The sequence below is a fragment of the Homo sapiens genome, chromosome X, assembly GCF_000001405.40.
Source record: "Homo sapiens chromosome X, GRCh38.p14 Primary Assembly".
Lineage (NCBI taxonomy): Eukaryota > Metazoa > Chordata > Mammalia > Primates > Hominidae > Homo > Homo sapiens.
The window spans coordinates 130,883,166-130,906,227 of record NC_000023.11 but is presented as its reverse complement, the minus strand read 5'-3'; the positions used below and the strand labels follow the sequence as shown (position 1 = coordinate 130,906,227).

Sequence of the window (23,062 nt, the reverse complement as noted above, 5' to 3'; positions counted from 1 at the left end):
TAATCCCAGCACTTTGGGAGGCTGAGGCGGGTGGATCACTTGACGTCAGGAGTTCGAGACCAGCCTGGGCAACACAGTGAAGCCCCATCTCTACTAAAAATAAAAAAAAAAATAGCCAGCTGTGGTGGCAGGCACCTGTAATCCCAGCTACTCGGGAGGCTGAGGCAGGAGAATCACTTGAACCCAGGAGGCAGAGGTTGCAGTGAGCCGAGATTGTGCCACTGCACTCCAGCCTAGGCAACAGGGTAAGAAACCGTCTCAAAAAAAAAAATACTCTCTAAGTAAAGTTTAAACAATTTTTCACTTATTTAATTGCCCTCTATATTATACTAATGTCTCCCAAATGTTTAGTTCCAAGCAAGACCTCTCTCCCAAGCTTCCGACCGGCATTTCTCAGCAGCCTATCAGGCATCTCCAACCAAAAGTTCCACAGACTCTTCAAATTTTAAATGTTCAAAACTGATTTCCTCCTATTCTTCACAAAACTTGCTATTCTTTCTAGGTTCAATATCTCAGTGAATGGTACTACCATACACTTAGTCTTCCAAGTCAGAACTTGGGAGTCGTAATGGACTCCTCCCCGTCTCTCACTTTCCACATCTACCAACTCCATCTGATTATTCCATTTCCTGCTAGAAATACTTTGATGAACAGGAACCCATGTTTTAACTCACCATTAAAACCCAAAACCTGTCATAGTGTATGGAACATAGTAGGTGCTCTGCAAATACTTTGAAATCAATGATCAAATCAAAGTAAAGAGTCATGGAAAAAAAGATAAAAAGAAAGGAGACAAAGCTGAGAAAAGAAATTCTGCATTTGATTCACACAATGTTTTTCTGGTGGCCATAATACTGAAAATGCCTTGTTTCACTCCTTTTTATGGCTGAAATGAGGTGATTTTTCTTTTTCTCTTTTTTCTTTCTTTTTTTAATTTTTTAATTTTTTTTGAGACAGAGTCTTGCTCTATCACCCACTACACTCGAGTGTAGTGGTACAATATCGGCTGACTGCAGCCCTAACTTTCCAAGCTCAAGGGATCCTCCTGCTTCAGCTTCCTGAGTAGCTGGGACTACAGGCATGCGCCACTATGCCTGGCTAATTTTCTTGATTTTTTGTAGAGACAAGGTCTCATTATGTTGCCCAAGCTGGTCTCGAACTCCTGGGCTCAAGCAATCCTCCCAACTTGGTGTCCCAAAGTGCTAGGGTTACAGGCATGAGCCCCGGCACCCAGCCGATTTTTCTTTTTTTAAAAAAGCAAATTATTTTCCTGGAGGAATTTAAAAGTATAAAAAGTATTAAAACATAATATAGCAATTCAATTACCACCCTCCAGAATGATTCCCCATAATACCCTAGCTATGTGTTCCCAGTATGTTCTATGTGTATATGCTTTAAAAAATAAACACTATATAAGCACAAAAATTCCTCTGATGGTTCTCTCCCACTTTCAAGTTAAATTATGAACTAATTGATATGACCCCTTGTTGCTGCCTGATCTAGTCTCTGCAATATGGAACTTTTGCTATTGTTCTCTGCACTCTTTCATGCCTTTATGCCTTTGCATATGCTTTGTATAGAATATGGTTGACCTCCCTGCCCCAAATCTGACAAATATTTTACTGGTTCTTCAACCAGTTCTCCAGAAGTAGAACAAGTTCTTCCTCCTCTATGTTCCTATAGAACCCTATGTAGACTTCTTTACAGCATTTTGCACATTGTATACTCATCTATTCCTCCCCCCAGATTCTCCTCTACTACAACTCCCCTCACCTGGATTTTGAGCTACTTGAGGGTAGGGACTATTTTTCCAATTCTGTGGCAACAGTGCCTAGCCCAGAGCTTTGCACAAAGCACTATGCTGAATAAATGGTTGAATTTATTAAATCGTCTTCCTCCTTCACTTATCTTTTTAAAATATTGGGCAATTACCTCAGCAAAATGCAATTCCCCTGTCTTTCCCTTCATTTTACTCGTGAGTCGAAAAGTTGTCCTCATCAAGAAGTTGTAGTAATTCAACTGTAACAAGGCTACAAGGATTCATCTCTAACAGAGAAAAAAAAAGGTCAAAAGTTGGGAGTGAAATTAGCCCTAATAAACAACCATTTTCCTCAACCTTTAAGTCACTTGGAAGTGCTTGGCATTCCCCACCTATGTCTTTATCCAGCTCTTGTAACATATTTTTACTCAAAAGGTTAAGTTTCTTAAAGACACATATAGTTACTCGTTTGTACTTAAGTTGTATTGTCTATCTGTTCTAAATTGTTATTTATAGCAGTTTATGTGGCCACTGTTTTTCATGGCAACAACATAGCTTCATTATGGATTAAATAGGCTTCTTCTGGGCTGGTGTAGATCACATTTCTATGCCTATTTATGACACTGTTTCCAGGGGGAACTATAATTTCCAATTAGAAAAAAATATATACATTCTTCCATACCTTTCAAGTGATTTTAATGCAGGTGGTTCACAAGGAACACACTTTAACAATTTTAAAGGACTATAACTCTCAATTAAAATTCTAAGCTTACCAAAGAATAAACATCATCTTTTGAAAAACACTTAAAACTCAATAACAATTTCAAATCACGATAGAAAGTGCTTCCCGCAAAATGCTAAGAGCTTAACCGACATGAAAATAAATCTAGAGCCTTCGTCTGTCCCCACAAGCACAAACCCATAACCCCAAGAGAGATTCTCTAGACAGTGCACCCAAACTACAATACCCAGAATACCCTTCCCCGTCTGAACGCTGGGGACAATCGGAAGGGGAGGGGAAGAATTGTGCGTATAGAGAAATAAGTGTCCCGCAACTCCATCTCCCATAATTCTCGGTCCTCACTTGTGTCTGTCTGCCAATGTCAACACGAGTTACCCCCAGGAAGAACAGCCTCCAGCGACCTCAAACTACATTTCCCATGAAGCCATGGGCTCGGGCCTCCGGCTTCCCCGGTGACCAGTAGCCAATAGGAGACGCCGCAGTGGGCACCCTGTGTGTGAGAGTCCAGCCTTGGGCCAGAGTGCCGGGTCTAGGCCTGGAAGCGCGAGGCGGGCATTTCGGAAGAGAGTGGCGCGGCGTGGGGCGCCGCGAGGGCACTACGAGCCCAGGAACTGCCGCGCCGGCCCGATTTTCCGCGGCTGTATAAGGACTAGCGCTTCGGTAGCCGGGGAGCTGGAGGTCAGAGAGGCAGAAAGCCCCGGTGGCCGTGGCTGGGGACTGTGGGACTGAGGGGGCCTAGGGAGGAGGGTGCTTCCGGGGCCGCGGTCCTCAGCGCCTAACTCCACCCAGCTCCACCTCTGCAGGGGAGGGGGTATCGGGACTGGGAGTCGGGGGTGGGCTTTTGAGCTCTAGGCGCCAGTTCTCTTGAGCCCGGGAGCGCGCTGTCTTTGCTCTTTTTTTTTTTTTTTTTTGGTCCAACTCGCCCGCCCCTTTTTTTTTTTCCCACGACGCCGCCCCCCTCCCCCTGGCTCTGTGCCTCCTCAGAGGTCCGAAGTTGGGGTTTGCGTCCAGGGTTTTGCCTAGGCGGTGACTGGACTCTAATTCTTACCGCAGGAATTGGGTGATCTCTTTCCTCTTTTCCCTCAATTTGTATTTCAGGTTTGGGCACATAACCCTCCCTGCGCTACACTCCCCATTTTCTTTGGGGCATGGGAATTCCTTGCCACGCTCAGGGCGTGACTTTTTTTTTTCAAACTTTCTCTTTTTGCCTCCTTAATTGATCGCCATCTCTTTACTGGCCCCTCAGCCACCTGCCACTTCCCCCACCAGGTCTTTGAAGTGGGGAGAGTTTCCCCTCAATTTCTAGAAGGGATGGGAAGCAAAAGAGGGAAGGAATCTTGCTTTTGAGAAATGTGTGTTTAAGGTTCAGTGCAGGGTTCTGGTGAGAGTAAAAGGCAAGTTAGACTGGTTATAAAAATCCAGCGCTTTAGGGGTTTCCAGCAAAGACTGATAGCACTAATGTTGACAAACATTTAGGGGGCACACCTTTATTCTACAGAATAAAGTAGACCGTGTGAAACAGACCATATTAATCATTGTATTATTACAAACGTGTGCAAAAAACGCTAAGAGGGGTCAGTGGAAGAGCATACTGATGGGGGTGGTGAGTTCATCTATGGAAGTTCAAGCCTAACCCGGGAAGTGCTGAAGCCCTCATCCGGCTTTCAGGCTTTGTGAAGGAGGTGAATTTTAATCTGGGCTCCAGCAGAGTACAGGGGATTTGAAGTTGTCAAAGAGGAGGGAGAAAATGCTTCCTGCTACTGAGATTGGACTTTGAGAAGGGTAAACAGAAGAGGGAGCACTGTGAGACAGGTGGGCTTGCCTGATTGGAATAAAAGATATCAGCACAAATATACTGGGAAATAAATAGGGTGGAGAAGCTTGGGGTCATAATAACATGATACTTTGAAACATACACATAGTTTGGATATTATTCTGTATCAAATAAAATTGAAGGCAAAAATTAAGATTGGATGATTTTTCTTTTCATCCTAGGGAACCTGATTTGAGATCAATTCTTGGAGAACACAAAGAAGTGTGATGGTATGTTCCAGGTGTGAGTTTAAATCCAAGAAGAAGCTTGTCTTGCAGATGTTTTGTTTGTAGCTATTCTTAGCTACAGTCTATAGCTGTCAACTTTAAAGCCTAGAGACATCGATATATTTTCTTAAGAAATGCATTTGCTGTCCCCGTGCATCACATTATCTGAACTGTAGTCATCTCATTGGGTGACAATAATGACTGCTATTTATTGAACCCACATAATGTCCTAGTCATCATCATAAATACTTTGTTGCATTATCTTGAGTGTTATGAAGTAGGTACTATTATTCCTGTTTCTTTTTCTAGAAGAAAACACTAAAATGCACAGAAGTTAAACAATCTACTTAAAGTCACATAGATTATAAGTTGAGTTGAGGTTTGGGTGTACAGATTTCTGACTCCAAAGCCCATGCTCTGTTCAACATGGTTTGCTGCTCCCAATGTTCTTTCTTGTTCTTGACTTTCCAGTTGTGGTAAGGAGAGATAGGTATAGTTCATCATCCTGGCCAAAACCCAAATGATTCACTTAAAATTTCTATGTCAGAATGTATTTGCTGTAAAGTAGCTGCCAAAACCAAATTAACTGTCATTGCAACTGTAGCTAATTGTGTCTGCCAAAACCATAGTCAGTACGGCTATTTCTGAATTAGATGATTCTCTTTATAACACATATCATACCTCTAAGCTATTTGGACCTTGATAGCACTTTGGATGTATTTTATTTTAGCATTTTAAGAAGTTACCTGGGACACTAGATCTCTTTCATGACCTCTGCCCACGTGAAGTGTTGGAGAAACAATGAAGTACAAGGTGTGAACTCTTCCTGGGGTCTAGCTGGGGAGCTGGATGCCCACAGTTCTGAGATACTGTAGTGTGTAGTATAACAGAGACAGGTACAAAATGCTATGGAGGGATAAAGGAAGGTGTGACTCACTGTAAGGGAGACTCGGGGAGAAGGCTTCCATGAGGAGGTGACATGAGATAGGTCTTGAAGGATAGTGAGTTTGCCCCAGGCAGGGAAGGAGTGGAGGGGAGGCATTTCAGATAGAGGAGTCAGTCTGTGAAAGATGTGTGGCTGTATAAGAGTAGGGCATGTTCATTCAATGTGGAAGAATTCAGCATGGTTGGAGTGCAGATAGTTGAGTAAAAGGAAACTGTAATGGGTAGGAGAAGAGTCTGGAAAGAGGTTGGGGCTGATTTGCAAAGAACCTTGATTGCAATCCTAAGTTGGAATGTGCCCCCATAGGTCAGTGGTTCTCAAAACGTAGGGCATCTGCCAGTGGTAGTTACACTGTGCTCCCACAAACATTTTAATTTTACTAGTTACATGTTCAAATATGTCTTAAAAAACATAAAACTGAACTAAGCCATCACATCTAAGATTACTTTGGATTTTACTTCATAAAAATAGAAAGTGAACCAGTTTTCAGTTCATTTAAAGACAAATATTAAGTAGTAATAGTACACATTGTGTGTGAATATGGTAAAAATCACTAAGTAATACTCAGACTGAAATTTGGGAAGTGCTGCTTGTAGGCCATAAGAAACCATTAACATGTTTTAGAAGAGCACCACGATCAGATTTTTACTGTAAGGAAAATGACAGTGGGAAGGATACAGTGGAGGTGGATATGATGAGGCTGCTACTCTGTTCCACAGAGAGACAATAAAGACCCAAGAGTAGTGACGTGAGCGGAGCGAAGAGATTTGAGAAACATTTAGGAGGTAAAATTATTAGGACTTGGTGGATGTTAATATTATTTTGTCAGTGTTACCAGAATTGTTTTAAAAGTCTGCATGCCCCCCTTGCCTCTTGTCCTTTATATTGTATGGTGAGCAATAATATTGCCAAAACATGCTATGTTTCTATGTTCATTAAGATTACAATGGAAGCTATAGTTACCACTCGAGTGGATTTGGATTACACACAAACATCCTTCCCACCTTACTCAGTGTCCTTGAGAGCAGTAGCACAAATATTCAAGGCACTGATTAGGAATATGACCATGATCTGTGACCCTTAGGCATGCAAGAAATTCCTCAGCCTTTAAGACTCAGCTCATATGTCAACACCTCTGTGAAGCCTTCCCGACAGCCCTTGCCCAACATACATGAATGCACGCACAAGGCAATGTTAGGCCTCGGGCTTCCACAGGACCCTGCACTTAGTTACCTCCGTCCTAGCCTGTACCACACTGTAGGGTGTCGGTCTGTGGATGTCTCTGTGTTCCCCACTAGACTGTGAACTCCTTGAGGGCAGGGACCAGGTTTCATTCATCTCCATACCCATAGCATCCAGAAGAGCACTTGACACATGGTAGTCACCTAATAAATGGTTATTGGGTGAAAAGAATTGATAAACAGATTTGCATGAATATAACTGGGGACCTTGGTAGCACAGAGTGCCAAATGCTATGAAAAGACTAGCTGTTTGCTACATTTGCTACTTTTGCTGAAGAAAGGAGTAAATTAAAGTGCCCATAATTTCATGAAAGACCTACTTTTTCCCTCTTTTCTTCACTCTCCCCTGGTTATCTTACCTTTTTCTTTCCTATCATTTACCTATCCAGGCACCTATTCCTTAGCCCTGCCCATTACTTTGCTGCTCTTGACAGAGTTCATCTTCCTCCTGCCCTGATACTTTGCCAGGAAACATCCTTCCTTCTACCCACCCAAGTCCAGTACACTCCGTCCTTGACATCACTCTCAAGTTCATCTCCTACTCATAGACTCTGCTGCTGGGACTATAATTTGATACAGCTCTTCTGGAGAGCAATTCGTCAATATGTATCAGAAACCTTAATAGAATACAGCTTTTAACCTACCACTTCAACTTCTAGAGCTCTATGCTGAGGAAACAATCATGATGTTTCCAAAAATTTAATACTCAGGACATCTATCCCAGAGTTGTTTATACTAATAGCAAAAACAACAAAAAAAAAAAAAAGAAAAAAAAGAACATCTTAAATGTACAATACTAGGGATTTGAATGAAATCAATTGTGGTACATTTATAGAATGGATTACTAAGTAGCCTTGTAAGTTGATTTTACCAAACAATATTTAATGATGTGGAAAATTGTTTTTGATATATTAAGAGAAAATTCACATCATAGAACTCTCAGTACAGAGTGACAGATCCCAGTTTAAAAACATATACATAATACACACACACACACGCACACACACACGCACACGCACACACACATCTGTGTAGGCATACATAGGAAAAATCCTGTAATGGTAAACACACAAAAAAATATTAATAGGGGTTTGCTGCAAGTAGTAAGATTGCATATGACTTCTACTTTTAACCTTTTGCGTATTTTTATTTTCTAATCTACAGTATATTTGTTAATTTTTAAAAAGTTATTTTGACCAGGCACAGTGGCTTAACACCTGTAATCCCAGCACTTTGGGAGGCCAAGGCAGGCGGATCACCTGAGGTCAGGAGTTTGAGACCAGGCTGGCCACCATGGGGAAACCCCGTCTCTACTAAAAATACAAAAATTAGCCGGGCGTGATGGCATGCGCCTGTAATCCCAGCTACTCGGGAGGCTGAGGCAGGAGAATTGCTTCAACCCAGGAGGCGGAGGTTGCAGTGAGCCAAGATTGCACCACTACACTCCAGCCTGGGAGACAGAGTGAGACTCTGTCTCAAAAAAAAAAAAAGTTATTTTAAAATGTTTTCCCGGTGTCCACCATTGTCTTACTTTGGGGCATACCTTCCACCCCCCAACACACATGCATCACTTCTAGCCTGGATTACTGCTGCTTCCAGCCTGCTTCCCTTCTAGTCTACTCTTTACCAATGCTGACAGAATGATTTTTGTAAATCACAAATCTAAAACCATCTGGTCTCTATATAAAATAGTTCAAAGGCTGTCCATTGTCTTCAGAGTAATATCCAGACTTCTTAGACTGCCTGATAAAAGCTTTGAAAATCAGCTCCCTGCTTGCTCCTCTAGTATTAGGTTTTCCTTCTGTGATTTACTTTTTTGGGGGGTCTTTGGCCAGTGGCAGGCACATAATAGGTATTTAATTAATGTTAGCCAATGTTGATGTGGACTGTATGGATTAGCTATTTTATGCCAGGCAATCTACTGGTATTTAATTCTCAGAGCAAAAATATTAAACACATAAAATAGTTATTCCTATTTTACAGATGAGGAAAACTAAATACATCAAAGCGAGAAGAAAAGTTATCATAATAAAGGGCATTTTTTAAAGAGAAAATTTAAAACCTCCTGCCATAACTCTGTTTTCTTTATTTTCCAGCAATCCCTGCTGGTCCTTGTCAGGAAGAAAACAGGCTTTGTACACTCCCTTGGGCAAGTTATATGTGACCACAGCATAACAAGAACAGCCAACTGACATGATCTCACCCTGTCGTGGTTCACATTGTGCTCATGTACGGAAATCTTTCCTTTGTGTACATAACACTTCACACAGGAGAGATGGAATAGCTCCAGTTGCTCTGTTTTTCTTTATTTTTTGAAATTCTGTGTCATTTGGGATGGGTATGTCAACAGAGAGCTACAGAAAACCGTGATAGAATTGAATGTACAAGAAACAATGTGTCTCATGGGAGCCGATGTCATTGGTTAATTTATTTTTTTAAATGTCATGTAGATGTATTTTCCAGCAATCTGTCCCCAGGGAAGACCTTGGTTGAATTCAATAGTTAATCCTACTTACAGAACGCAGCCCATGTGTGCACTATATTCTTGCATTGTTAAGTGATTTTAGACATATGTAGTGGATTACCATACGACATACAGTCGAGTGTATATAGGATATCTGATTTTCTCTACAATAACGTATCAGTGGTCATTCAGGATCCTGAAGTGTAGTCTTCCCTTCATTTTCCTTACAGATAATACCCATTGTGCAAAAATGGATGATTTCTAAGGGATGGAAGTCCTAAGCATGAGTCATCTGAGTAAAATATTTCTTTATAAGGAATTGTTACTTTTAAATACTCCAGGAAAAAAAATCTATAGTTTTCCTGCTACATGATCAAATAATTTGAATGTAGAAATTACAGATAGGGTTTCACTTCATTCGATGAATTATTGTAGGCTTACTATGTGAAAGCACTCCGTTAGGCACTGCACTAGATACTCATAAATACCCCTTTTAATGCCTTCTGTATAAAAAGAGAAAGAACAAGGGAGAGAGAGAGCAAGCAAGCACACAAGAGTAAGAGAATTCAAGAGCAAATAAAAGAGAAAATTTTAACAAGCGGGCCCATCTTATAAATGAAAATTCACCCAGCTGAAAACTGGGATATGTACCCGTGGGGATGTGTGTTTTTTTGTTTTTTTTTTCTCAGTGGGATAGCTAGGCAAAAATGAGCTACCAGATAGCTGATAAGCAAATGATCTGCTTCTCTGTTTACAAACAGTATGAGAGAAGGAACAGTGACTTTCTGTGCTTCCCAGCCCTGCACAAGCCTGCTGGTGATGTGAGAGTTATGATTGTGTCAGCTTTTCCAGGGTTTCTGTCTCTGCTGTAGAGATTTGGCAGACACCTCAGACAAATTTTATGTCTCTTAAATCTTCCTCAAGCTAGGCTTGGCTCTTAGATTTATATGTGCAAAAAAGTAAAGTGTTTACCAGTCTGACATTTTTGAAGATCAAAACAGACTTAGTTTAAAAAAAGAAATCAGCATACACCTCAGTTTAGTCAGAAAGACCTAATTGCTTTTTGCTATTTGTTTAAAACAGCCCAAATGTGTACTTTTCAGAAATGGCTACTGATCATATGTCTAAAGATTTATGTTCTATCCCTCAGTGTTGCTTCCTTTTTTTCTTGCCTACAAAGTGTAAAGTTTTGCTGAAGTCTTAATTTTCCTTTTTTTGCCTTTACTGATACATAGTATAAAACACTGTAGGATGGAAACATGGTGAAATACATTGGCAATCTAGGAGGAGAAAAAAGATAATTTTTATTAGCTCTGCTTCCCTCCCCTTTCTGGTGCTCTGTTTTTCAGTGGTCTCTTACTCACAAAATGTTGTTCTTTAGCATAATAACGATAGGTGAGTAGAAGAATCAAAGAGCTTTCAGTGACCACACTTTAACAAAGCTGGTCCAAATGCCTCGGTAGGCAGAGCACAAATGAATATGGCAATCATTCAGGAGAATTGAGACACTATGGAAAATGTTACTTCAGAGAACAACATTGCTTTAGTGGTGAACTATGAAAGATAAGGATGGAGAAATCCCCAGTAAGGGCCCTTGTCATCTGCTCCAGCTGCTCTTCATTTTTAGCCAGCAACAACTGCTAATAAGAGTTTCCTGGGATAGAAACTGCCCCACAATAAGCCCCCATAAGGTGTCCTCCTATCAGCTTTTCTTCAGTCAGGTCCTCAAACATACTTCACTAGGATTACTCTGGTCACATACCATTCTAATTTTCACCTTTCAAGAGATGCTGAGTTTGACTTCAAGGAGTACTTGATGTTCAAACTCATTCATTCAATAGACATTTGAGCATATATACAGGACCAGACCCTATGCTAAACACCAGGACTATAATAATGAATTTGATGTGATGTAATCCCTGCCCTTAAGGAGCTCACAGTCTAATAGGGGAGATAGACACTCAAACCAGTGATCGTATTTTGATGTGAAAAGCACCCAAAAGAGAGAGAAGGTGTTCTGGGAATATGGAGGAGGGAATTACAGCTGGGGGTGGACAACTTAGAGATCAGAGTCTAACTGTGCTGAATCATAAAGGATGAGGGGCATTGCCTAGTCTCTATGTGGACAAAGAGGTGATGGGCAAGGATTCCAGGCAGAGGGACCATCAACACATGCAAGGCAGTCAAATGTGTAAAACTGCATAGTTCAGAAAAAGGTAAGATATTGTGTGTGAACCACTGAAAGCATGGGAAAGGGGGACAGGATAAGAGTCTGGAAAGGTATCCTGTGGCTGGTTGGGTGAAGTAAGTCAGCTTGCTAAGAAGTATGGCCATTGTCCTATATGTAGGGATGAGTGAACACAGGGTTTTAAATGGGAGGAGTAACATGATTGCACTGGAGGTTGGACTTCATGGGGGGAAAAGCTGAAGACAGATGAAGTCCACTTTCTTTTTTTTTATTATTTTTATTTTGAAATACTTTCAATTTAGAAAAAAGTTGAAAGAATGGTATAAAGAATATTAAAATAACCATTTGAGAATAAAATTTTAATATGATGCTTCATCATTTCTGAATATTTTATTTGAATCTTCTACCAAAAAAAAAAAAAAGGATATTCCATATATAGCTACAATACCATCATAGACATCAGGAAATTTTCTTTTTTTTTTTTCTTTTTTTTTTAAATTTTACTTTAAGTTCTAGGATACTGTGCAGAACGTGCAGGTTTGTTACATAGGTATACATGTGCCATGGTCAAGGATCTAGAACCAGAAATACCATTTGACCCAAGCAATCCCATTACTGGGTGTATATCCAAAGGATTATAAAGTCCACTTTCTAATTTGGCAGTCTTTGAGAGGTTTTACCCTAATCACTTGCTACTATTCAGCAATGCCATCTCTGCTAGGGTTTCTTTCCATATACAGAGATCACTTTGAACAATTGTTTCCTTCTGCACACAGGACATAACTTCCTGCACTCCTTCACATGTTACTCAGATGAATATTCATTCTTTCCAACTCAAATCAGTGATTCCAGCAGTAATTGAGGTTTGATTATCATGAAGGAAAGAAATCAGTTTTGAAGCACAGCAGCTTCATTTCAAAAGCATTCTATGAGGCGTATTTATTGCTTGCTGAGTCAGCAGGGCTGAGGCACGTGCTGGTCAGCTGCCCTTGGGATTTGGGGGAGGAAAAAGGAAAGGCTGAAGAGATGTCAGGAAGTGGCTATTTGAAAAATAAGCAGCAACCAGCATGTTGGAAATCCTTAAACGTCACATCCAGATATGGGAAGTGGATAGACGTACCAGATGTACATGAATATAAAACAAATGCATGTTGAAGGTACCTGTGCCCAAACAAATTGTACCATCTAGCCAGTCAGTTTTAGATCATGTTCTTTCCCTGACTCAGATACTGTAAATGGCTTCCCATTATCCATAGGATGAAGTCCAAACTCTTCAGCCTGACCTTTAGTACTGTCTGCAATCTGGCTCCAACCTACCTTTCTAATCTTTGTACTTCTGTCTTACAGAACTCTGCTCCAGCCAGTTACCCTTTCAGACACTGCTTTGGCATTCCATTACTTACAGTGGGAGCCCTCTCAGGGGCTGTATTTTTTACTTCTTTGAATTCCCCAAAGTGCCTAGCACAGTGTCTTGCATATAGTAGGCCCCCAATATATATCTGTGACTGTTATTTTTCCCCACCCTTCCACCATTGTTTCCAATATCTCTACTATTAACCCAATGCCCTCACTACTGAAAATGGCAACTGAGACACTAGGTAAAAGAGGTTGGTGCTCAACAAATTATCTTTTAACTTTCTAGTTTGAAGTACTTTTAAATATAGAAAAATTGCAAGCATCATATAAGAATTCTTATATACCATTTGCTCAGATTCACCAATTGTTATTATTTTGCCCTATTTGCTTTATACTTTTCTATATAATTATAATTATTTTGTTCTGAAACACTTGTGGTTGAATAAGCCATACCCCTTTCCCCCTCTCCTTTTCGTCAACCTTTTATTGTGAAAATATTCAAATACAGAGAAAAGTTAAAAGAATTGCACATTGAACACCCAGATACTCACCATTTAGATTCTACAATGAACATTTTGTTGTATTTGCTTTATCACCTATTAATCTATCCATTCTTTTCTGCATTTCAGATTAAGTGGCAGACATTAGTACAGTTTTAAAAAATTTTTTTATGCATATCATTAACTAGATGAACAAACTCTTTTGTGCTCTGAAATCAACCAAGTCATCCTGCATTATACCTGCATTTACTGTGTTGCCAAAACTCTAGTCTGTGTATCTTAGATCTGTTTGGCCATGGATCACATGTCTTTTTCATTAACTCTTGGATGACTTTCTATTTCACCTAGTGTCGTGCAAGGCACACATTCCATAGACAGCACTTGATGCTGATGAGCAGAAACAGAGCTAGTGCCAGAGGAAGAATCATGATAAAACCAGAATAAACTGGGGAAGGACAGAAGGGAATCTGAGAAGAGGGCCACAGGTGAATAGGAAAGAAGCCAGGGCTTGAAGAATTGGGGGAAAGCAGGATGTCTCCACCTGCCTGGTACTTCCAGCAGTACTGTCTGCTACTTCCGAGCTTTTTCTTTAAAAGGATGGGTTCCAGGAAACTAGGGACAACTGCTGCTAAGCAGAGCACATGACAAGTTTCCTTGCTACTCTTTAGGAAACCCCAATTAATGTATTCATGTTGCTTCATGAATATGCTGATTTACCATAAGATGCAAGTTAGTTTTGGAGAATGTACGGAGACCACTGAAAACCTTCCAAACTATATCTGTGCTATAACCAAAGAGCACTTAAATTCAGTGAATCCCAGTGTCGTTTTCCTTTATAACCTTTTCTTTCTTGTATTGCTGTGAATACAAGGATAGCTTTCATCGGTCTTTACTGAGTTGTCATTTTGTGTCAAGTACTATGCGAGATGCTATCAGATCACTGACACTTTCCAACAGCCTGACAAGGTAGGGACTACTTCCTCCCCATTTTTCAGATAAGAAAACTTGAGACAAAGCATGGTTAACTGTATTGTCCATAAGACAGAATTCAAGAAATTCAGGTCTGCCTGACTCCAGAGCCCAGTATTCCTAACCGTTATACCAAACTGTAAAATGAAATTTAAAAAAATGTCAACCCAGTATAAATGCAAGTAAATTTACTTTCACTGTTTTGAATCAGCATGTAATTTATTCACTAAGCAAGTCCAATTGAATCAGTGAATTAAGAACTATTCCTTTAATTCTTAAGATATTGTTATAGTAATGGATTCAAATTGCCTGAGTTCGAATCCCAGTACCAGTCAAGTACTGTAAGCAAGTCACTTAGCATCAGTAAGCCTTAGTTTCCTTGCCTATAAAGTGAGGATAAAAGTGTCTGCTATAGGAGGATTACTTGAGCCGAGGAGTTCAAGGTTACAGTGAACTATGATTGTGTCACTGCACTCCAGCCTGCGTGACAGAGCAAGATCCTTTCTCAAAAAAAAAAAAAAAAAAAAAAAAAAAACCATATAGTGTTGTATTGTGAAGATTGGTTAAGAAAATTATGTAAAATTTGCCATGTCTGACATGTAATAGGGGCTCAGCCTATACTAGATCACTGTCATTTCTTTCCTTTTCCTTTTATTGGACCAAACAACTCATCTGTAACTTTCACTTGAGGAAAACAAACTATTCCTGAAACATTTTTTTGAGGAGAGACATTCTGAAAAAGTATATTAGGTTATTTCTGAGGCTGAACAAGGACAGTTACCAACTCTTAAATGAAGTGTATTTCTTTTAAAAAAAAAACTTTTTAAAATTTTATTTATTTATTTATTTAAGAGGTGGGATCTCACTCTCTTGCCCAGGCTGGTCTTGAACTCCTGAGGTTAAGTGATCCTCCCACCTGGGCCTCCCAAAGTACTAGGATTATTGGTGTGAGCCACCATGCCCGGCCAAGTATATTTCAAAATAAGCTAGAAACATGAATCCTTAAAAGAGTTGGGGTGGTCCATCTCTCTGCCTCCTGCAGATTAAGGCTAAATTGTGACTTTATCTGTTTCATCACTAGACTAAATTCCACAGTTGGCATAGACTATTAAAACTGGGATATTGGGATATTGGCAATCCCAGCCTGGCCATTTCATGGCAAGCAAGCTGAGGCTAAGAGAGTAGAAGTGACTTGACCAAGATCAAACAGTGAAGAAAATCAGGAGACGTCAGTTCTTCTGACTCCTTATCCAGTGTTCATTCTGTGGTTCCCTTGTCAGCTTTCAGACAGGTGAAACCAAACCTTGCTGTGTGTTCTTTGCAGGAGCTTGAGCTGATTAGACTCTCAGGGTTTGGTGCAAGTTTGATTGATTCAGAAAACATGAAACTTTGTTCTGGTTCAAATCAGCTTGCTAGTTTTTGTTGCTTTCAAACTGTTACAATTTCTGTTTTGTTTGGAATTTAGCAAATTAGTTCTGTGTCTTCCCGTTTAAGTTCATGGTTTGGTTCAAGTTCTTAGTTCTTTGAAATCTTCCACTAGGACTTTTGTTTTTGACAAAAATACTCAGAATCTGGGGTGGCTAGTGATGGAAATTCATTTGAAAAAAATCAGTCAGGCTTGGTGACGGCTGCCGAGGAGGAGCTTGGGTGGTTTAGGGAACCATTAGTGCTTACATTCTGGAGCTTGAAATCGGGATAATGGAAACAGTGCAATGGTTTTTGGTATGCGTGTTTGTTTTTATAAGGATGCTTTCATTGCCCTTCTTGCTAACCTGGGTTGAAACTACTGCCTCCCACCTCATTGCCTTTTGGGACACTCTGTCAGTCATATTCCTCATTTTTTGACTGTCAGAAAGAAGCTAACAAAAAAAAAATCATCTTTCCTGTCCTTTCCCTTTACTTTGAATGGCCCTTCTGAGGAACTTGGGGAATATGAATTTCAAGCTTAAATTTGTGAAGGAGTTTAGTTGCAATGCCCAAAGGGAGAACAGTCCTATTCTGAAATACAGCCTTTGTTCCTTTCTTACCAATGTGGTTTTAAAAGTCACAGGCAAGCCTCCTTTGCTGAACCTGAAATTGGACTGACACCTTCCTTAGTGGGCAGCCATGCTGCCAGTGAGGCTGTGGTGGACGGTAGCAGGGATGAGGCCTCTGGAGAATTGTATCCCACCTGACTCACTTTCTGAATGGCAGAGGAAAGTGAGATCTGGTGCTAGGGCTGTCAGTACCTTTTCAGGCTCTTGACTGTTTCCCTAAGCAGTTGGAAGGCTAGGTTTGCAGCTTTGATGGTTAGGGGGCCACTCCCAATACCTCAAAAGACAAGCACTTTTTATTATAGTAGGTGAGACTTTGGATGATTTCAGCAAGTATGTTTCTGATTAGAAAGCTCTCACTTTAGATTCATTTTCTCTTTTCTCCACCCCTCCCCTCTGTTTCCCTCCTCCTCTCTTGTCTTTTTCTCCCCTTCCCCCTTTCAGCAGCTCACTTGCTCTTAGCTACCAATTACCTGTTATGTGATTAATATTATCCTTTTCCCAATTGGCTTAACATAGATTTTGGATATATATTTTACTGGCATCTTCAGTAGTAGCAATGACGTTCAAAGGGGCAATTAGAAAAAGTTTTCTTTCTTCTTACAAGAAGTAGGATGGGCACTTGTTTGAGGGCACAGATAGCACTGGATGGGACCAAGAGGAGCTGACATCTGATATCCCTGCTCTATCCCCCACCTTTCTTTTGGCTGCTTCAGATTTGGTTCATGTGGACAAACACACTTGGGAACCACCATACAGATGGAAATCAGGACATGTGGGATTTGGCTGAACCAAAGATCCCCAAACATTGCCTGGATCATTTAGTGCCCCAGGTGTGGCCACCCCAGGACTTCATGTGCTAAAATTGTGTCCCAGCTGAAGCCAGCTGGTCACTGTATACATAGGATCAAGGCAGCTTGGAGCCTCATAAAGCATAACTTTGGATTTTTACCTTGTGGATTTAGATTTAGTTAATCACCTTGAATCCTCCCCCAACACACTGGGCAATGAGGATGTAACAGGCAAATAGAAAGCTTGAACAAAAGGAGATGCTCATTATCTAGTAGTTTGCATTCCAGATGGGACATAATGCTAGACCATATGAAGAAAAATGGACTGACTTTCCAGAAAGGAAAGAGAGAATTTAGAGGGCTCCAGTCTCTTTAATAAACTTTTGATGTATTATTTTAAAATTTTCTCAAAAACGTTCCCTGCTATAGAATTTTAAGAGCAAACAGCGATTCCGTCTAATTTAAAAATTGTAAGAATTGAGCAGTGTTTCATGAAATTATATTAGTTCTTTCTTTTTATTTGCCTTATGTGATAGAGGTGCCTCACTTCAATCATTAAGGCAAGATTTGTTTAGGGCATGGTAGTAATAATCCCATACAATTGTATAACCCTTTACAATTTACAAAAGGGTTTTCATACCTATTATCTCATTAGCTGTTCACAGCAATCCTGTGAGACAGTCAGGATAGGTACTATTATCTCCAGTTAACAAATAAAGGGAACTTAGGCTCAAAGAAGTTAAGTGACTTGGCCAGAGTCACATAGTTAGAAAGTTGTAGAACTGGAAGCTGAACCCAGGTTTCCTGATACCCAGCCCCAGTGCTCCTTCGGTTGTATCATGTTTCCTCCCAAAGACACTATCTCCTTTTTGTTCCTACTCGTGATTAATTTTAAAATCCGTCTAAAAATGAGCTTTAGTTTAGTGGATGAGTAAAACTGAAGCACTTACATGTAAAGTGCTTTCTCAAGTCACCTAATGAAGTGGGTCCTGCACATAGCTCTTGGCTTTTCACCTTCATTTTAACTGAACTATTTTTAGGTAGACATAGATTTGTTTTTCAGTGTTAAATATATGGACAAAAGTTGTGTGATCCACTGATTATAGGTGTGAAAGCTGCGCTTGGGGAATGGGACTAGGGATGAAGAATTGCCTTAAAATAATTAGCTTCTTGCCTTTGTGTTAAGAGATGTCATGTTCAATAGAATTTAATTTCTTTATACTTCCTTTGCTTCCAGCCTTTTAAAAATACAATTCTTTAGGGAAAATTAGCAAATATTCATTCTGAATGTTGATTTCTCAGGAATAAGGGTAGCCAGAGGAAAGAAAAAGCAAAGGGGTGACTTTCTGTGCCCTGTAAGAGTGGGCAAACATTATTTTGTTTGGAGCTGTGAGCTAAGATTTCTTCCAAGGCATGCAAATCGTAAAGTTCTGATTTGTCAACTGCATGCTGTTTCTTTAGGCACTGATGTATGAAATCCCGAACGAATTCTCCAATGAACATACTGCTAATTGCTTCTCCACCTGCTCTCCAACCTCCTCCACCCCACCCCCTCCACTCCCAATTCAGCCTATAAGTGTCCGTCATTGGAGATGGATGGTGACACATGCAGTAATAGCAATTCATAAAAGCCAGTTCCAGCCCTTGTCTTCAAGGCTCCTGGATTTTCCACTGCCTGCTTTTGTGTAAGTGAAGTGGATGGAAGTGCTACTGGCATCAGAATCCTCCTCCCTATGCTCCGTTGCTGAAGCTCAGTTGCTCGGCTGGAGCTGAGCTAAACAGAAGCGTCAGATCTAAGCTGAATTATAGCTATTTTTCTTTTTCCTCAATGGGGTGGGTGGGTTAGGGATAGGGTATAGTGGGGGTTTGGGGTGCTTTGGCTTTTCTTCTTGTGGAGAGAAGAGGGTAAGGAGAGAATAACTCACGATAGGATACAACGTGAAACAGTTCCCTGAAGAGTGTCACAATGTTCCTGGTACAATATACAGGTATAGTATGTTTTGTTTTATCTGAATTTCCCCTTTGTTTCAAAGTGCATTTCTTTCTTTTATTTTTCCTTCAGTTCAACTGTACTGAAGGACAAATAGGGTTCTAATGAGCTAAACAAAATAGCTGCATAAAACATGCCTGCCCCCAGCTATAATGTTTGTAGCAGATTGCTGTATAAAATCTGCGTTTTCTGTTAAACTGGTAGTCCCGATCCCTTAATTGTGCACGCTTCTCTGCTGTATTCTTGTATTGAATTTCTCAAGTCTTATGTCTGCAACTGGTAGTATGTGATATAGCTTAGAGTGTTTGCACAGAAGACAGTGCTTTGGAAGCAAAAAGCAATTTTTAAACACTTAGTGTGTTATGTTTCTCTAGAGTTTATTAACTCCTGTATTTGTTAATTGGTTGTATAGATTTGGGATATACCTAAGAGTAGGGAAACTTCAAACAGGAAGCATTCCAGGACACATCTGTTTGGTAAATTTAGTTATTTTTCATTACTGAACTCAGGTTGATGAACATTATATATTATTGTTGTTTGTTTATTCTCCTGACAGAAAAAAAAAAGTGCTGGAAACAGCAAAGCTACAAATACGAGCCCCAAACCATCTGTATTGTAAAATATCCTTGGATCAAAAGTGTTTCTTAAGTATTCTCTTAAGCTTTCAGAAACATAATGGTCCATAATAATGAAGAAGATTCTGATCAGGTATGGGCGAATGTTTTTTGAAAGGCTTCTTACACAGCAGTTAGACAGAAAGGTCCCTTGCAAATGAAAAACCCTGAGAAAGTTTCACTTTCTTGCTTCACAGAACAGAAGCTTAGTTCCTACAACCACGTTGTTTTGATAAGTTTGAATATCATTTGTTGTCAAGGACTTTCATCTCCATTGTTGCTTTATTATTCTTAAAATATTATGCTCCTACGCTTAACAGCTAAAAGATCATGTTCTATTTTGATGCGTGGTTTGACAGTTGATTTCGCTCCTCATTAATTGGACAGCATGCAGATGATGTGGAGAAGTGAGTGAGTGACAATATTTCAAGGTTACGTTGAAGAGCATACAGTGAACCTTAGTGCCTGGACCAACAGCTGCTGAATTGAATTGTCTGCAATTAAAGCAACAGCAGGTTTGTGTAGTCTCCCTGCAGCCCATTTATTTGAATTTATAGCTTCAGTTTCTTCTTTGAGTATTGGTTGGTTGGTTCTGCTAAGTGTTGGAAAGTTGTGCTTGCTGGATGTTTTCTCTGTATTCCAATGCATGCTTGACTCTAGAAGAGCCTTCTGTGTACATTTTAATGTGAGAAGTTGTTGAGGCTTTTTTCTTACGGTTAAAACCAGAGATTGTCTTATTTTCTCCACTATAAAATTAAATAGATTTACATGGAAAATATTGCTTTGTTGAATAAATAGAGATTTCTCATGGACCAGTGTTACTGGTTTAAGTTTCTGGCAATGAAAAATGCTGGACTTTGTTATGCTACTGGAATTACTATATCTGGGAAGAACTTCTCTCTGCTAATAAAAATGTTTACATTTTAAAAACGACATTATCTCCTTGCCAGCTCTCAATTCCACAGTGACCTAATGAATAATTTCAAATCTAACTAGGTGGCTTTTATGACTGTATTTTATTTGTATGCTAATAGTGAATACATGTTTAATTCCTTAATGGTTTTACTCTATTAAAAATTACAATATTAGTGTAGTTGTTGGTTACTGAATGATAGTGGATGTGGTATAAAACATTTAGACAGTGATTTAATATATACTTTCTTAGTTCATTCTCAGTAAGTGTGAGGTCAGTGATATGATCTCCATTTTATAGGTAAGAAAACTGAGACTCAGGATGAGTAACTGGCCTGAGGTCTCCATCTAAGTGCAGCCTAAACTTACAGGTTACATTATCTGATTAAAGAATCTGTGCTTTTTCCTCCCTGATATCAGGCTGCCTCTCGGTTGATGGGTGCCAGGTAAATGTGACTTATGCTACTAGAGAAGGAGGATAAATTTGGTCATTTACTGAAAAATGTATTCTTGGATAGGACGCTAGAGATGTTTTCAAAACTATTTTTAGTCTAGCATTTATTTGAATATGTGTGTGATTTCAAGATTAATTTTACAGATGTGTAAGAAACACTAGTGTTTTGATTAATGTGTACATCAATATGAATGAAAGTAGAGCTTTGTGAAATTTTGGGGAAGCAAAATGTTGTCTATTCCAAAAGGTTAGTATGGAGTATTTTCTCTTCTAAAAAGCTAGTTTGTTTGTACTGTTGTACTGGATGAACTTATAAGATTGTTTCCATGAAAGTATATGTATTTTAAGATATACTGGCTATGAATGTGAAGTGCTATATGTTTTTGAAATTTGAGTATTTTGTCCAGATCAGCAGAAAAAATATACAGCTAATTCAGGTTCACACTTTTCTTTCTTTCTGTCTGTCTCTGTCTCTGTGTCTCTCTTTCTCTCTCTCTCTCTCTCTCTCATAGATCAGCATTCTTATCTTTTAAAATTTCCAAATGGTTTCTCAATTTTAAATTAATTAGTTTTAAGGGAAAAAATGCTTTTTGTCCCACTGAAGAAAGGAATACTATTTAAAGCCACATTATCAATTCATCAAATGAACCCAACTACTTGAATGGCTCATACAAGCTCTCTGGTAAAACTTTCTTTAGGACCCCTTCAGTAAACATTCTTGAAGGGGCCATTTTTATATCTGAATTTATTAGAGACTGTCCCGTGTACTAGATTAATGACTCGATGTTCACGCCATAGACAACTCTTCTTCAGCATTTGACAATGAACATTTGAGAATGTTGATAAGAAAATGGGCCAGAGATAGAGCAAGTATTGTTATAATCTGTTTATGAGACTTTAAGATGGTAATGAATATATTATCTCAGATACCATGTAATTGGAATTTACCCTTATCTAAGATGGTATCTTTATATTTTAACATGTCTTAAAGTAAATCTGTCCTCATATTATTTCCTTCTGGCAAAAAAGAAAGGAGGATGATATGAAGCCCTTTTATCATTCTTTAGACTTAAATGAATTTGACACTTAAAAAATACAGGTGGGAACTTCGGGGAACAGATCAGGATTAGAGGAAGGAGAACTGGGCAAACTAGGCATGAAATTGGAAGTTCCATATTAAACTTGGTTTCAGGTGGCAAATGTCCTACGTAGTTGGAAGCTCTGGCTAACATCCCTCACTGTGTTCCTTTTTCTAGGAATAGGCACTCTGAATATAAATGAAAAAGAATTTATTGGGGCTTTTAAAGAAATTGACATTTTCTTATTGGCTAAAGAAAAAGTCTTTCATCTACAAAATAGTTACTTTTTCCTTGTCTTGTTTGAGGCCAAGAAAAATTCAAGAGGGAGATTTGTAGGTTCTGGTTGTTCAGGGAGCTGAAGTTGAGTCGTCTGATGGATTTTCCTCTTTGGTACACCTATGAGCGTGTTTTAGAGGAGTGAAGGGCAGGTCTCATGGACGGGAATATAAAGGTTAGTATACACCAGTCCGTGGTGTGCTGGAGCCAGCTTGCACTAGCTTATTTAAGGGGATCACCAAGAATATTAACAAATTCGAAAATTTATTCATATTTGCCTTTTTCCAAAAAGGACTTAATATGCTTATTATGAATAATACAATAATTAAGGCATGCTATTTATGTAGGATAGTATACTGCAAATGGGGCTGCTAAACTATACTGATTGACATTATTGAGCATAGTACAGTTGAGTGTGTGTCTCCCCAGCCATATATAAACACAATAATAAGAATAGCTAACATTTGGCCAGGCACAGTGGCTCACGCCTGTAATCCCAGCACTTTGGGAGGCCGAGGGGGGTGGATCACTTGAGGTCAGGAGTTCGAGTCCAGCGTGGCCAACGTGGCAAAACCCTGTCTCTACTAAAAATATAAAAATTAGCCGGGCATGGTGGTGGGTTCCTGTAATCTCAGCTACGTGGGAGCCTGCAGCAGGAGAATCGCTTGAACTCGGGAGGCAGAGGTTACAGTGAGCTGAGACCATGCCATT

General features: G+C 39.6%; 1 protein-coding gene across 17 annotated transcripts in view, besides 5 other annotated features; it reads left to right on the top strand.

Annotated features, from left to right (window-relative positions):
- Positions 2,614-3,133: an enhancer, noted in NCBI's record as "H3K27ac hESC enhancer chrX:130037069-130037588 (GRCh37/hg19 assembly coordinates)". NCBI's record gives its function as "activates a minimal SCP1, AML or CMV promoter by ChIP-STARR-seq in primed H9 embryonic stem cells {active_cell/tissue: H9 hESC(primed)}" and the evidence as "EXISTENCE:reporter gene assay evidence [ECO:0000049][PMID:30033119]".
- Positions 2,614-3,653: a biological region, named in NCBI's record as "H3K27ac hESC enhancers GRCh37_chrX:130036549-130037068 and GRCh37_chrX:130037069-130037588".
- Positions 2,804-2,993: an enhancer, noted in NCBI's record as "active region_29947". NCBI's record gives its function as "activates an Ori minimal core promoter by ATAC-STARR-seq in GM12878 lymphoblastoid cells {active_cell/tissue: GM12878}" and the evidence as "EXISTENCE:reporter gene assay evidence [ECO:0000049][PMID:35858748]".
- Positions 3,004-3,273: an enhancer, noted in NCBI's record as "active region_29946". NCBI's record gives its function as "activates an Ori minimal core promoter by ATAC-STARR-seq in GM12878 lymphoblastoid cells {active_cell/tissue: GM12878}" and the evidence as "EXISTENCE:reporter gene assay evidence [ECO:0000049][PMID:35858748]".
- Positions 3,019-23,062, top strand: part of ENOX2 (ecto-NOX disulfide-thiol exchanger 2) — a 280,885-nt gene continuing 260,841 nt past the window's right edge. For 12 of the 17 annotated variants that reach the window (NM_001382521.1, NM_001281736.2, NM_001382520.1 and 9 more), the window contains exons 1-2: positions 3,019-3,179; positions 4,497-4,544. Coding sequence is in view for 3 of the 17 variants with exons in the window: in XM_011531245.3 (XP_011529547.1) it covers positions 4,542-4,544 (3 nt within the window). In the remaining 14 variants the exon portion in view is untranslated. Of the gene's footprint in view, positions 3,180-4,496; positions 4,545-18,678; positions 19,015-19,989; positions 20,146-23,062 lie in introns of those variants that run through there. The other 5 variants (XM_047441769.1, NM_001382516.1, XM_047441770.1 and 2 more) reach the window with 4 other exon arrangements.
- Positions 3,134-3,653: an enhancer, noted in NCBI's record as "H3K27ac hESC enhancer chrX:130036549-130037068 (GRCh37/hg19 assembly coordinates)". NCBI's record gives its function as "activates a minimal SCP1, AML or CMV promoter by ChIP-STARR-seq in primed H9 embryonic stem cells {active_cell/tissue: H9 hESC(primed)}" and the evidence as "EXISTENCE:reporter gene assay evidence [ECO:0000049][PMID:30033119]".